At 35.3% G+C, this 15,064-nt stretch overlaps 1 protein-coding gene across 19 annotated transcripts in view; it reads left to right on the forward strand.

Annotated features, from left to right (window-relative positions):
- Positions 1-15,064, forward strand: part of FOCAD (focadhesin) — a 340,326-nt gene that overhangs the window by 203,242 nt on the left and 122,020 nt on the right. For all 19 annotated transcript variants that reach the window (XM_047423537.1, XM_047423539.1, NM_017794.5 and 16 more), the window contains 3 exons: positions 3,712-3,846; positions 7,060-7,110; positions 8,063-8,146. In XM_047423537.1, coding sequence (XP_047279493.1) covers positions 3,712-3,846; positions 7,060-7,110; positions 8,063-8,146 — 270 coding nt within the window. The remainder of the gene's footprint in view (positions 1-3,711; positions 3,847-7,059; positions 7,111-8,062; positions 8,147-15,064) is intronic.

The following is a 15,064-nucleotide window of genomic DNA, read 5'->3' on the forward strand; positions in this document are numbered from 1 at the left end:
TAATTTCCATATGTTTGTATAGTTTCCAAAATTCTTCCTGTTACTGATTTCTAGTTTTATTCCATTGTGGTCAGGAAAGATACTTGATATGATTTCCATTTTTATAAATTTTTTTAGACTTGTTTTGTGGTCTATCATATAGTCTGTCCTTGAGAATATTTCATTTGCTCCTCAGCACTTTTAAGATCTTATTGTATGGTCTCTTTGTCTTAATTTTAAAAATGTTGGCTGGGCATGGTGGCTCATGCCTGTAATCCCAGCACTTCGGGAGGCCGACGTGGGTGGGTCACCTGAGGTCAGGAGTTTGAGATGAGTCTGACTAACATGGTGAAACCCCGTCTCTACTAAATCCAAATTAAAAAAACATTATCTGGGTGTGGTGGTGCATGCCTGTAATTCCAGCTACTTGGGAGGCTGAGGCAGGAGAATTGCTTGAACCTGGGAGGTGGAGGTTGCAGTGAGCCAAGATTGCACCACTGAATTCCAGTCAGGCAACAAGAGTGAAACTCCATCTCAAAAAAAAAAAAAAGAAAGAAAGAAAATATTATTCTCAATTGTTCCTTTGCAGGTAGTCTGTATTTTTTCCCTTTAACTTTGAAGATTGTTGTTTTGTCTTTGGTGTTTAATGGTCATATTATAATGTATTTAGATATAAGCTTATTTGTATTACAAGTTAAGTTAGAGAATTAATGTCTTTTATTAATTTTGGAAATTCTTAGCCATTACTTTTTTGACTAGTGTTTTTTTTTCTATTCTTTAAAAAAATTTATTTTGAAATTATTTAAACTTATGGAAAAGTTTAAAGCATATATATATAGAATGGAGTATTATATATATAATATATATATTATATATATATATAAAAAGAAGTGAGCACTAACACATACTACAACATCGATGAACCTTGGAAAAGGTACGATAACTGATAGAAGCTAGACACCAAAGAGCACATGTTATATTATTCTATTTATAGGAAATGCCTGGAATAGGCAAATTTATAGAGACAGAAAGTAGATTTGTGGTTGCCTAGATTTGAGGAGCTTAGGGGACAATCAAGAATGATGAATGATTATGAGTTTTTTTGGGAGGAGGTGATAAAAATGTTCCAAACTTGAATGTGATGGTTGTGTGGCTTTGTAAGTATACCAAAAACCAGTGAATTGTACACTTTACATGAGGAATTGTATGGTAGTTGAATTATATATCAAAAGAGCTGTTGTTAAAAGAGAAAATAGATCATTATTTCGTGTTTTTTCACCCTTCTTCCCCTAATATTAACATCTTGCTTATATAACTATAATACAGTTATTGAAACTAGGAAATTAATATTGGTGCAGTGCTGTTAACTGAATTATGGACATGTGTGTTTAAAAATGTCCTTTTTCTGTTCCAGGATCCCATATTGCATTTCGTTGTCACGTTTCTGTATTAGCCCATTTTCATACTGCTGATAAAAACATACCCAAGACTGCGCAATTTACAAAAGAAAGAGGTTTAATTGGACTTACAGTTCCATGTGGCTGGGGAAGCCTTACAGTCATGGCCTTTTCTTCTGCCCTAGGAGACTTTAATTGTTTGAGAATAGTGCAAAGCTCTCTTATTAGTTCCTCAGTCTCTTGGCCTTTGTCCCTGTTATGCACTGTTTTCTTTGTTTGTTTTGTTTTGTTTTTGTTGTTGTTTTTGAGACAGAGTCTCACTCTGTAGCCCAGGCTCGAGTGCAGAGGCGCTGTCCCAGCCCACTGCAACCTCCGCCTCCTGGTTTCAAGCGATTTTTGTGCGTGGCTGGGGCATATGCCTCCACGCCTGGCTAATTTTTATACTTTTAGTAGAGACAGGGTTTCACTGTGTTGGCCAGGCTGGTCTCGAACTCCTGACCTTAAGTGATCCACCCACCTCGGCCTCCCAAAGTGCTGGGATTACAGGCGTGAGCCACCACGCCAGGCCCAAATGAATCTTTTAAGAATAGCTTTTAAATTGTTTTGTATTTCTTAACTTGAAATCTCTAAAGCCTACCTTTTCTTTTAGATTTGGTTCCAACTGCTTTGATATTCTAAGTATGCTGTGATCTACCAGCCTTTCCCCACCAATACTTGTGCTTTTTGTACCTATAACATGTTGTTTTTTGTTTGACTTTTGCTTTCCATTTTCTTGTGGCATGGCTGTGTGATTTCTGTTCATTCTTTCTTCAAATCTCTTCTCAGGTCTTATCATCTCTTGATACCTTCCCTGATGACTCCTACCCATTGACTTATTATCCTCCATAGATTCCTCTTGAAACTATTTTCTGTTGAAATAGTTTAAAGTCATATCATATACCTTTTTGTTTCCAATAATTTAGAGTGATGTATCTTTTTCTTCCTTTACAATAAGGTGTCAAGTTTTTGAAGGATTAGATCATCTTTATATTTTGTTGTTTCTGTGAGTATTATGTACCACTCTGGGTATGCAGTTGTGCTGAATTGATAGCTTTTAGAGAATTGGTTTGGGTTTTATTTCAAATGCTGATGATTTATAATATCAGAGTTACTTCTTTGTGTAAATGTGCCTACTGTCATGCCTGGTCTACAATACTGCCCTTAGGAAAGGTTAGTTGAACCCAAATCATGTAGGGGATCCCAAATCAAAGAGCATTTATTATTCTACTGTTTCACAGGAAGTATAAAGTAAGAGCAAATGCACTGAATCCAAGTTTTCTCAGAAATACTCTGTCTACTGTCTTTCCTTTGAGCCTCTTCTTAATCTGTCTCCTTAAGTATATATTACTCATTTATCTTTGACATTTTTCATTTACTACCTTATGTAGTTTTTCTAAATAATTTATATTTGTAGGTAGAGATAAATTGTATGTGTTAATTACAGCTTAAAAGAAGAGATTGGAATATTTTAGAAAGATTAATTCTTATTAAAGACTATCTAATTGATCTGTGTTTGCATTCTTCCTATCTGAGTCTTAACATTTTCATAAAACATCTATCAGTGAAAAAATCATCAGTGTTAGCTGGAATTGAACTTAAGAAGATATTTGACTACCCATAAAACCAGATATTGAATGAAGAACACTTGGTTTAAGAAAATTGGGTCAAGTTAGAAATGATACAACATTTTTGCTGGGCTTTAGATTTATTTTATCATTAATGACCTCTTAAAAAACCGGAATTAACTTTTAAGACATCTTAAATTATTATGTTAAATACTGTAGTTATTCTCCTACCTCTGAAAAGCTTGTAAGGTGATTTGAGAATGTTTGATTTATATATATTAATACTCCAATTTTCTGAGTGGTGATATTGTTTCAACAGGGCTGAAAAACTAAAAAATGTGGATACCTGGCTTTAGAAATGGGCTAGCATTATCTTACCTGCTTTGTTTCAGGGGCTGATTCTTCAACAATGCATATAGCTAGATAATCTGGAGTTAATTTTGTGTGTGTCGGTGGGAGTGAGAGCTTGTGTGCTTAGGAGAGAGTTATTTACTTGGTTAACTAAAAACGAAGTAGTAAAAAAGCAATTGTGTGAGGCAGGCATAACTTCAACAGTTTACACTGGTTTAAGTTATTTCATTTGAGGGGTGGTACCTTATTAAGTCCTATCTTCTAGGCATAGTCTTATTTGTTTCTTAAGTTTCCTTATAATAAAATATAGTACTCTTAATTAATGGCTTCATATAGGTTGGAGTCTTGTTAGGTGTTGACCTTTTCTATTTGCTTCACAGGTTGTTTGCATTCGCTCCACTTGGAATGCTCTCTCTCCAAAGCTGAGTTGTGACACAAGACCTCTCATTCTGAAGACACTGAGTGAACTATTTTCTCTAGTTCCTTCCTTAACGGTCAATACAACTGAATATGAGGTATGCATTTGGAGCTCAGCACATTGCCTGCTTCTTCATGGGAAAGATGTGTGTTATAATAACTTTTGGAATAAATATTCCTAATCTGTTGTTGTTGTTGTTGTTGTTCTGAGACCATGTTGATATGTTTATGGACTCTTAGGAGTAAGATAGCTCCTCATCAATCTTATGTCTAAAATGTATTTACATAAAGGATACCAACTTTTAATTATGAGAGTATTGTCAAGATTTTAAAGTCAATATTGTAAAACTAGTGTTTCCAAAATAATAGAATTCATAAAGCCAACCATTAAAAATCATTTTGTTAATGTTTTAAGTTCTAAAAAATAAGCCACAAAGACATTAATAAAGGCAGGACAGACTCTCCAAACTTTGTGAATTACTCAGTGTTTGTCATTGTAATGAGTTGAAATACTTGGTGGAAGATTCTTTTTTGTAAGATTCATATATTACTGCTTAATATTTTCTTAATTATCTCTTCTTTGAGTGAAATGCATGAGAGGGTAGTGAATTACATTTATGCCTCTACATTTGTAAGCCATACTTTTTTTTTTTCATGCTTACCATTTTTCCTTTTCCTTCAAAGAGCAGCAGTTGATTTTCACTTGCAGTCTTGGTAAACTTCTAGTTTGATTTAGTCCTTCACAGACTTTGATAAACTGCCACTCCAGCCATCAGATTCCAATAATAGTCCTTTATATGTTTTAGATCATCTGACTGAGACAGGCTTAGAAGATACTTCAACTCATTCTAAATGCTGCACAATGAATAAAATCAAATTTATCCTTACTGGGCTATACAATACCTATCACAGTACCTGGTGCATAATCTATATGTAGTAAGTAGTTGTTGAATGAATGATTGAATCGATACAGAATATTTTAGTTTATTCTTACATGTAGCCTTTTTTTAGGGTCTTAAAAAAAGAATCAATTTGTGACTGTGAGTATACAGTTCACCAACATTCTTTCTTATGGCTGCAGTTCACAGGCACTTGCTCTTATATTGTCAGAGAGTCCACAGGGCTACTGATAATGAGCTAAGACTAAAAGCCAATGTAAGGCCATATTGGGTATATTTACTTTCTGTCTTCAGAGGCTAAAATCATATATCTTTTGTATTGCTTGTACCTTGAGTTAATCAGATTTTATTACAGGTTAATTTATGAATTGGCTGGTGTGTTGGTTTTTTGTGTTGGCTTATCCATGGTTGTGAATTATCTTTTGGACCAGATTTTTTTTTCTTCCAGATTTTACATTCTTTTCCTTTGGTATCTTATACTAGGGTTCCTCTGTTGTTCAGACGGACTGCTTTGGGGCCGTTCTCTCTATCTCTTCCTGCCCAGTTAGGGGGAGTCTCTTCAGTGAACATAGTCCCCTTAAAAGCAGAAGTGAAGAAATGTAGAAGGGAGAGACCCTCCTTCCTCCTCCCACTTTCATCTGTGTGTGTTTAGATAATTGGTTTTTTAACTACTTAGAATTTGTCTGGATGTGAGCCAAAGTTGAATTTAATTTTTCCCAGAGTGCTTCTTAAGTCATTTCTATCCCTAGTAACTTCATTAGCTTAAGTTTCCCTAAAATGTAGTCCAACCTGTTTACAACAAGTCCATAAAGCATTCTGGAATCTGGCCTCATTAGTGGTCTGTATGCTGCACTCCAATAAAACCAAACCACTTACAGTGTCCTTCAAACTTTTCCTTCCTCCAAACTTTTCCATTTCTTTTCCTTTGTTCATATTATTCCCTCTATCTAAAATTACTTTCTTTTTCCTCTTTAATTTAAAAATATATTTTAGGAAGAAAAGGATTGTTTTAACTCATCCCATCCTTTGAGAGTTTGTCTGCAAGCTGGAGTCTTTTGTTCCCAAAGTTCTTTATACTGTTCTAAGAACGTTTATTCTATTTTATACTACAGGTATATGTATGCATATATTATTTTCCCCATTCAACTATAGGCTTATTGAAAATGGAGTCCATGATTTAATTATAGTGTATTTTCTGAATTGCTTTGCACAGTGCTTGCTTCACTTATTCATTGAATCAGAATATATTTATTAAAACTGCGCTAGGTCTTAGAGATACTAATAAATATAGTCAACCCTATTTTTGAGTACCTATTCAATCCCCATCACTCTTACTAGTTTATACCAATTAGTTCTAATCTCTGATAGGAAGGTATCATTTTTTATTGTATTGTTACAGAAACTAAACCTTTGAGAGGCCTATTTATTTGACAAATATTTATGAGTATCTGCTATGTTCTAGGCAAGTAACTTGACCAAGACTGTAGTTAAAAAGCTAAGTGAAAGCTGATGTCTGAATCCAGGACTTTCTAGTTTCATATCCTTTGTTTTCGCATTATACCATGTTATCAGTCCCTGCCTTCTAGAAGCTCAAAGGTAGGTAAAGGAGATAGATGTGAGTGATGATAATTATAGTAACATTTGATGAGCACAGTTAATTAAAGGGCAATGAGAGTGTGGTAGAGAAAATGACAAACACTCTTAGCAAGAATCCAAGGAAATTATTTGTGCTATTGGACTTGGAACTGGAAGAATTAATATACTGTTGCTTCCCATTGAAGTTTGGGGACTAGAATATGCAAAGGCAAGGAGGTATAGAGGAACCTAATATGATTTAGAGGGGCAAAAAGTTAGATGTGGTGGCAATGAAGAAGACCACCGACTGTTGGAAGGTAAATGGCTTTTATGCTTAATCAATTATTTATTACACATTTGTCATCTTTGAGGAACTGTGTGGGCTCTGTGGTTTAGGTCTTTGAAATGAAAAAAACGCAGTCACTGCCTTAAGTATTGTACAACCTCGAGTGAGTTAGTCATGCTAGATGTGGAGGTGTACCATGTGCCGTATGGCCACATGGAGAAAGGAAAACTCTCTTCTGGGTAGGCTAGAACAGTGGCATGAAAGAGTGACATTTCTGTTAGTACTTGAAGGGACTAAGAGTAAGAAATGGTTAGGTTTCTAAATTTCATTATCTTAAAATCTTAATGTGTTTAAAATATCCATGTGCTTAGAGGATGAGTTTGTTTCTGAATATTTACATTTTATGAATGATGGGTGAATACACATTAAGTGAATTTCTGGTGGTGTTACTTTAAAAGTGACTTAATTTTCATTATTTGCTACTTTGGATTATTTAGTCTCAGTTTTAGCTTGGTCTTAACAATTTATTCTTTTGTATGTTAACTTTTCAGAATTTTAAAGTTCAAGTCCTCAGCTTCCTCTGGACTCATACTCAAAACAAGGTACTATCACAAGGCTTGTCAGTGAATCAGAACAAAGCTAAGGAAATAATTTTGACATTTGTAAAATAAGACTCTTAGGATAAAAAGTACAACTGCCTTGAAATAATGGGTTCCCAATTTTTAAAAAAAGTGTGATTATTCATAAGTTTTGGTTTTAAAAATTATGCTCAATTTATGCCCATTAATACATTTTTACCATAAAGTGCACTTAATACTTGGTGAATCTGACAGATGGGAAGAGGAACTGTTGATATTATCTTATATTTTTATATGGTCTTTCCCCTTTCCTGCTTTGCCCCTTCCCCACCAACAAGCATACCAAACAAACAAAAAGTCCAGTCCATTTTTTAGATGTTGTTTCCAATCAAGGATTATATATAGAGACTGCTGGTGATGTTATACCTAACTCATGGATGAATGAGCTTAGATTCCAAAAAGGCTAACTTGCCCTATTAATAGGTGGAGAATCGGAATCCAAACCTAGGCCTATCAGACAGTAACTCCTTGTTCTCCTTCTGCTAAATCATACTACTTCATGGAGACTTGAGCAATTATGAGTTACTTTATATTTAATGTTCAAACTAGGATAAAAATTTAGTATTTTTGATCTCCTTGCCCATTTTTAATTGGGCATATTCTCCAGAAAAATGTTTAATGCTGATAATTTTTTCCAGTTGTTCTTACTTCCCTTCACAGACCCTTTCACTTTTTTTTGCAATATTTTGTTTTGAAACGAGGATTAAATTTCTCGATCTCTCTTTTGAAATTGCTAGTAAATATCCTTTTAGCTAGGCAAAGCTTTAATACCATTTTCAAAGCACTGACTGTAGAACTTTGGGATTGGTGAGGGAAGGTTTCTTTCCCCCTCCAGATTTGATGTTTAATGCATGTTGTGTTTTTTTGTTTGCTTGCTTTTTTTTTTTTTTTTTTTTTTTTTTTTTACCCTATCTAGGACCCAATTGTAGCAAATGCTGCATATAGATCCCTGGCCAACTTTAGTGCAGGAGAACACACCATTCTTCATCTGCCTGAAAAGGTAGGCATATCTGCTTTCTCACTGGTATTTCTTAATTTGCTAGGGTTTACAACTTTTTCTCTCTCATCTTAGGAGATACTTACCTGATGAATATATACATAACCCTAGATCTGTTGTCCATGCAAGATACAAATTCATACCCATTATTTGTTTATATGTAAAAGACTGTAGAGGTTTGAAGCAGATGGAAGACACCTATGATGCAAATGAAATCTTCTTAAGGTGACTGGGTATATGGCTTGCTCCAGATCTGAGTCACTCATAGGGATCACTTTGCCTAATTAGTATGCCATCCTGGACTTTAATCCAAGCATGGCCTTCATAGACTAAGATTTTATAGCACCTGTGCAGCCAAAGATCTCTATTTGTGATAAACAATGGGATGCCATATGAAAAAATCTGCTTTTTTTTAGTATCTGTGAATGGTATATAGGTAGCTCCAGAAAACTGGATGGAGAAAGTATCACTATCTTTTAAGAGTTAACACATAGTGTGATATTCAGTTAGGAAAAGAGGAAGTCAAATTGTCCCTGTTTGCAGATGACATGATTGTATATTATCTTAGTTTTTAGACTAAACTAAAAACATATAACCTCTTCTAGTATCTGCCTATTATAATCAGCTTTAAATTAGTAGATCCTATTAAGGGGTTAAATATCTGATTTCTTATTTAGTGCCACTATGAATTCAAATGCATACAGATGTTTATTGAGTGCCTCTGAAGTGTCAAGCAGACATTGTGTTAGATGAAGTTACGTGTAACATTACTCAGAATCTGTCTTTGAAGTTACGTGGCAAGAAGGTTTGGTGTGAATTCCTTGGGATCCTCAGGCATTAAAATGGGTTTGCCTTTTTCTTCTGGATTGCGTTTATACTGAGATTAGATGCCAGTAGGAACCAGGCAAATTTCTGTTTACTGAATTGAATTGGAGCCACGATATAAAAAGGATTGAAAATAGGCTGTTGTAAAACCAATTCCTAAGGCAGGCAGGATTTCCTGTGTCATTGAGGACTTACAAAGATAGATTGACCGCTTGTCATGCAGTGATCACAAATGGGAAAACTTAGGTAAAGATGTGTTATGACTCATACAATTAAAAAAGATGGGACTTCAGACTGCATTATGATGACCAGCAATACCCATTGTTGCTTTAAAACAGGAAAGAAAAAGGAAAAAAGCTACATGTAAATTTCATATGCAAACACCTGCCAATAGATTAGCTACAGCATCTGGAGAGGCACCTTTTATTCTTGTTTTTAATAGGCAATTATTCATTTAAATCACAGCATAAAAATTACCCTTATTTTTACCTTTCATTCCTAAAATATTCCAGCTTGAGTAATAGCTTTTATTAAATAACTCCAGCATACTCTTGACATTTAGTCTCTACTTTTTAAAATATTGACATGCTTATATTTTTTTTCTGATTTTGGATTTATATTCAATTTCCAATTATGTTTGCAAGAATTTATAAGTGCTATACTCAGCCAAGTGTTAGCTACTTCCTTAATCTAACTCTTCTAAACTCTTTGATCCCTGAATAGCCATAAATAGCTCTTTATATCTTCCAACATAAATGGTAAACGTACTTAGAGTTGGGGTTTTCTATATATGTTTGGGTTTTCAGCATCAGAGTGGAAAGAGCTATAAAGGAAAGCTATAAGGCGTATCCTTTTGTAGCTATGCTTTTCAGCTTTTTTTTTTTCTTGCCCTAATCCCCTTCTGGGATATGACCCATTCCAAAAAGTAACAATAGCTCACTGCAGTGGATATTCTGAACTGAGGTTGAGATGAGGGGTGTAAGTGGTTTGAAAGAGTCTTCCTCACTCTGACCCCAGCTTCTGATACTGAGGACCTATCTCTTTATGGAGAATCATTGCTTCTAAGACCACACCATGCATTCTTCTTCTTTTCATTGATTGCTACATTTCAGTTTGGCTGTTCGAACACCTAAAGACTAAAAGTCCAGAAAGTGTTCAATGTGTTCATATCCCAAACAAGTTCCCAAACATACAGCCTGGTCGGTGCTTCACCTTAGTTTTGTAGATGTGACACTATAAAACAGTGATGTGAAACTGCAGCTCATTTTTCTATAAAAATGTATTTTCAAATGTTTTGGAAGTTCCTGTCAAGTGAGACTTCTGTAATGTAAAAACTAAGATTCTTCTTTGTTGACAGACATTACTCTGCACTAAGGGCAATTGGTTTACACACAAGACTTAAGGTTACCTATTTTTCCAGTGAAAGTGTGTCCATATTCTCTCTTCTTACCTATGGAAACCGGTGGAATAAACTTTTGAGCCCATTGTGAATTTCAAGTAGAGCTAAAAAATATATATATATAAGATATCCTTACAAATGTGGCTACTTTGTGAATTATAATTCAGCTACTTTTTAAAGTACTGATTTTCTTTAAATTTACTTAAATATTTCTTGTTGATTGCTGAACATCAATTTATGTTGTATAACTTGTTGAAAGTTAACAGACTGGTAGAACAAAAAGAGTAAGAGGATTGGCAGATATCAGAACAAAGATTTAGGGTTGAATGAAACAGTACATTTAAGGTAATGTACTGGATAGATGGTAGAGCTGAATGAGATACAATAATATGAGTTAAGAATTTGAATACCATGTTGATGAATTCATCTTTCTTGTCATTTGTTATTAAGAATTTCTGTGGGATTAGAGGTGATGGACATGTAATACTTGCATTGGTTTAATAATAATTTATTTGGTATATACTAAGTGCTAGGTCCGATCTGAAGAGCTGAGGATGTTGACTGAATGCATATATTTTGTTGGTTTGTAACAGGATCATTGTTAATCACTTAAAGCACACAGATCTAAAATTGGTTCCAAAATTTCAGGGGACTTCTTTGAGGACATGTTGATTGTCATGTTGAAAGATAGATAAGAATGATTTTTCCCTTTTAGCTTTTATTTTTTCTGATTTTATAAAAGCTAGTTACACTTCCCCTGTCTTCTTTAGCACACCTCCCCAAAAGAAAAAACAAACAAAAAAACTATGGAGAAGTTTCCTTGTTAAAAGAATCAGTAATGGATAAACATTTAGGTAGAAGATACTGACTTTTCTCTCTGACTTGGTTTCATTAAAAAACATTCACCTATTTAAAAATTAAACTTGTTTTCTTGATTTCTAGGGTTAATTTTAGAAATAATATAAAAGAACTGATTATGCATTCAGGGTTGGTATAAATATGGTGTAACCCGTTTGGCTTTGATTTAAAGTGAATGTCACTGCATTCATCAGAAGCTGTTTCTCTTTTTAACTGAATAATTTATGCAGATACTTGACATGTTCCAAATAAAATTCTCTGTTTATGCACAAACTCTTGGATTTCCATAGGTTACAGACACAGAAAGTTGATTGAAAGGTTATCCGGCTCAGAACCCACAGTGAGGCATTTTGTGGGATACACTTTCCAGTACAGATGGTCCCCAACTACGATGGTTGGACTTAACGATTTTTCAACTTTATGATGGTGCAAAAGTGATACATATTAGGTAGAAATGGTACTTCGAATTTTGAATTTTGATCTTTTCTCAGGCTAGGCTAAGATATGTGGTAAACCACTCTCTTGTGATGCTAGGCAACAGCATCAGATCGCAGCTCCCAATCACACTGAATCACAAGGGTAAACAACTGATATTCTATAGTGTTCTGTGTTACCAGATGTTTCTGCCCATCTGTAGGCTAATGTAAGTGTTCTGAGCACACTTAAGGTATGTTAGGCTAAGCTATGATGTTTGATAGGTTAAGTGTGTTAAATGTATTTTTGTCTTCTGACATTTTCAACCTACGATGGGTTTATTGGGACATAACCCCCATCATGAATCAAGGAGTATCTATATTCAATTTGAAGCAAGTTTTAAAAGTAAATTATCAGCTGAGTGTGGTGGCTTACACCTGTAATCCCAGCACTTTGGGAGGCCAAGGCAGGCAGATCACTAGAGGTCAGGAGTTTGAGACCAGCCTGGCCAGCAAGGTGAAACCCCCTCTCAACTAAAAATACAAGAACTAGCCGGGAGTGGTGGTGCGGGGCCTGTAATCCCAGCTACTCGGGAGGCTGAGGTAGGAGAATTGCTTGAACCCTGGAGGTGGAGGTTGCAGTGAGCTGAGAGCATGCCACTACACTCCAGCCCAGGCAACAGAGCAAGACTCTGTCTCAAAAAAAAAACAAAGTAAATTATCATTTTTGACTTTCCATTTAAGTTTTTTAACAAAGCTTAGTTATAATAGGCAGGTCGTTTTTGTTGGTGGGGTGTGTGTGTGTTTTAGTAGGTTGGCACAAAAGTAATTGCAGTTTTTTTCTTTTGCGCCAACCTAATAGATACATATGCAGTTTTATTTTTCTGAGTGTTTTAGCAGCTAATATAATATTATTGCCAAAATTTTATAACCTTAACAGGAATTCTTTCAACTGAGTTCTCTTGATTCTCTATAGTTTTACTCGCATTGACCTTATTAAATTGTTGCACACAACCAGGGGGAAAGACTGGTAGTAGCCTAGGGAAGGTAGAACAAATAATTCTTTTAAGAAGTGACCAGAGGAGTAAAGAACTTACTCATGTAACCAAACACCACCTGTTCCCAAATAACCTATGGAAATAAAAAATTTAAAAAAAAAAACCAAACACCGCATGTTCTCACTCATAGGTGGGAATTGAACAATGAGAACACGTGGACACAGGAAGGAGAACATCACACTCTGGGGACTGTTGTGGGGTGGGGGGTGGGGGGAGGGGTAGCATTAGGAGATATACCTAATGCTAAATGACGAGTTAATGGGTGCAGCACACCAGCATGGCACATGTATACATATGTAACTAACCTGCACATTGTGCACATGTACCCTAAAACTTAAAGTATAATAATAATAATAAAATAAAAAAAATTAAAAAAAAAAGAAGTGATCAGAGGAGAAAGGAAATTTAATGGAACCAAAATGTAATAAATAATAAGTGCTAATTTGTCCAGGAGAATCAGCTCACCTATTAGAAAACAAAATTGAAGGAGTGATCATACCATTATAAATACATATAGTATATAATCTATTCTTAAATTATAATACATTTGTAATTTCTTTGCTAAAATTTATGCACATTTGAGATGCAGACATATGCTATTCACTGCATAGAAGATAAATTAATATAGCACACAGTTACGTGAATATGAAATTAGACAATTTAAGATTGATGGGTTGGTCAGTTTGCTTTATCCGCAATCTTTCTTTAGTGGCTCTTAAAAATATTGATGACCCAGGTGCAGTGACTTGTATTAAGTAATTAGGTTGACTGCACAGAAGGACAGGATAGGAGGATAGGATAAAAGTTGTACAGAAATGATCATATCCCTTTTATACTAAATAATTCTGGAAGCATTTGGTCATTTGACATAGTTTGCACAGCACTTTAAGGTTCCTCTGGTGGTGGCAGTGACTTTTCCCCGACTCCCCACCCCCCCTTACTCTTTTCATTCTACTCCCCTCCTCTTCCCCTCCCCCTCCTCCTCTTCTGCATGCCTACATACCTTCCTCCCTCCCTCTCTCCCTCCATAGCTCCTTCCTTCCTTCCTTTCTTTTCTCTTTTCTTTTCTTTCTTGCTTGCTTGCTTGCTTTATTGACATATGATTCATATACTGTACAACTTACCCTTTAAAGTATGCAATTTAGTGGTTTTAGTATATTGAAACAATTGTGCAACTAATCACAGAGCAACCACAATCTAATTTTAGAACATTTTCCCCCCTGAAAGAAACTCTCTCAGCAGTCAGTCTCCATTACTCCATTCCCTCTCCAAGACCTAAGCAACCACTAATCTGCTTTCTGCCTCTGTAAGTTTGCTTATTCTGGACCTTTCCTATAAATGGAAGCATACAGGATGTGGTCTTTTGTGATGGGCTTTCTTCACTTATCTTAGTGTTTTCAAGATTCTTTCATGTGTAGCATGTATTTGTACTTTATTCCTTTTTATGGCTGGATAATATTTCATGGTATGGATTTATACTATATTTTGTTTATATATTCCATCAATTGATGAACGTTTGGGCTGCATGAATGTTTTGAGGCTATTATAAATAATAATTCTATGAACATTTGTATGCAAGCTTTTGCATGATCATATATTTTCATTTCTCTTGGTTATATACCTAGGAGTGAAACTCCTAGGCCATGTAGTAACTCTATTTTTTTGTTTTGCCACGTTACTATGATGTGTAAAATGTCAGGAAGCAAGGCAGAAGAACTCAGAACCAACTTCTTTCTCAGGACTTTTTAGGCCACTAGGATTGTTTAGAATCTTTAAGACAACTCTCAAGGAGAGTAAACCTGGAAGACTGTGAGTATGCACACAGACTAGACACTTGAAAAACCCTCCTGGTCAGAATCAAAAGGTTTGCGAACATGCCAGAGTTTCTCTGATATGCAGTGATTTCGACAGACGCTTTCATACCCTATCTAGAGTATACCTGATAGTTATCTCTGTAAGTATGGCTGATTCCGCCCTCTGAGAATTAGGTACTTAATACTGAATCTGAATTAAATCTTGTCTTGGACAGTGCTCGGGTAGTCAGGTTGCTTTCACTTCTCCTTCACTAGTGAAGAGAACACTAGTTATGGTTGAAAGGCTTCATTGGAGTTGACATTATTATTCTTAAGAGAAGCATTTCTTTTCTGTTTCTTCTACCCCCCTGCAAGAATCCTGAGTCAGTGCACTTCCTAAATGGAACAGTGCTTTGGGGACCTATGAAGAAGGCAGTCTGCAGGAATTGTTAATTATTTCTAAAAATAACTCTGGGATACAGGCTAATGGTGATGACTGGATTCTGGCACTTTATGGTTATAGAAACCACTTTTATATATTTTGATTTCCTCCCCTAATGCTTAATTATCTCCAT

The sequence above is a fragment of the Homo sapiens genome, chromosome 9 (assembly GCF_000001405.40).
Source record: "Homo sapiens chromosome 9, GRCh38.p14 Primary Assembly".
Lineage (NCBI taxonomy): Eukaryota > Metazoa > Chordata > Mammalia > Primates > Hominidae > Homo > Homo sapiens.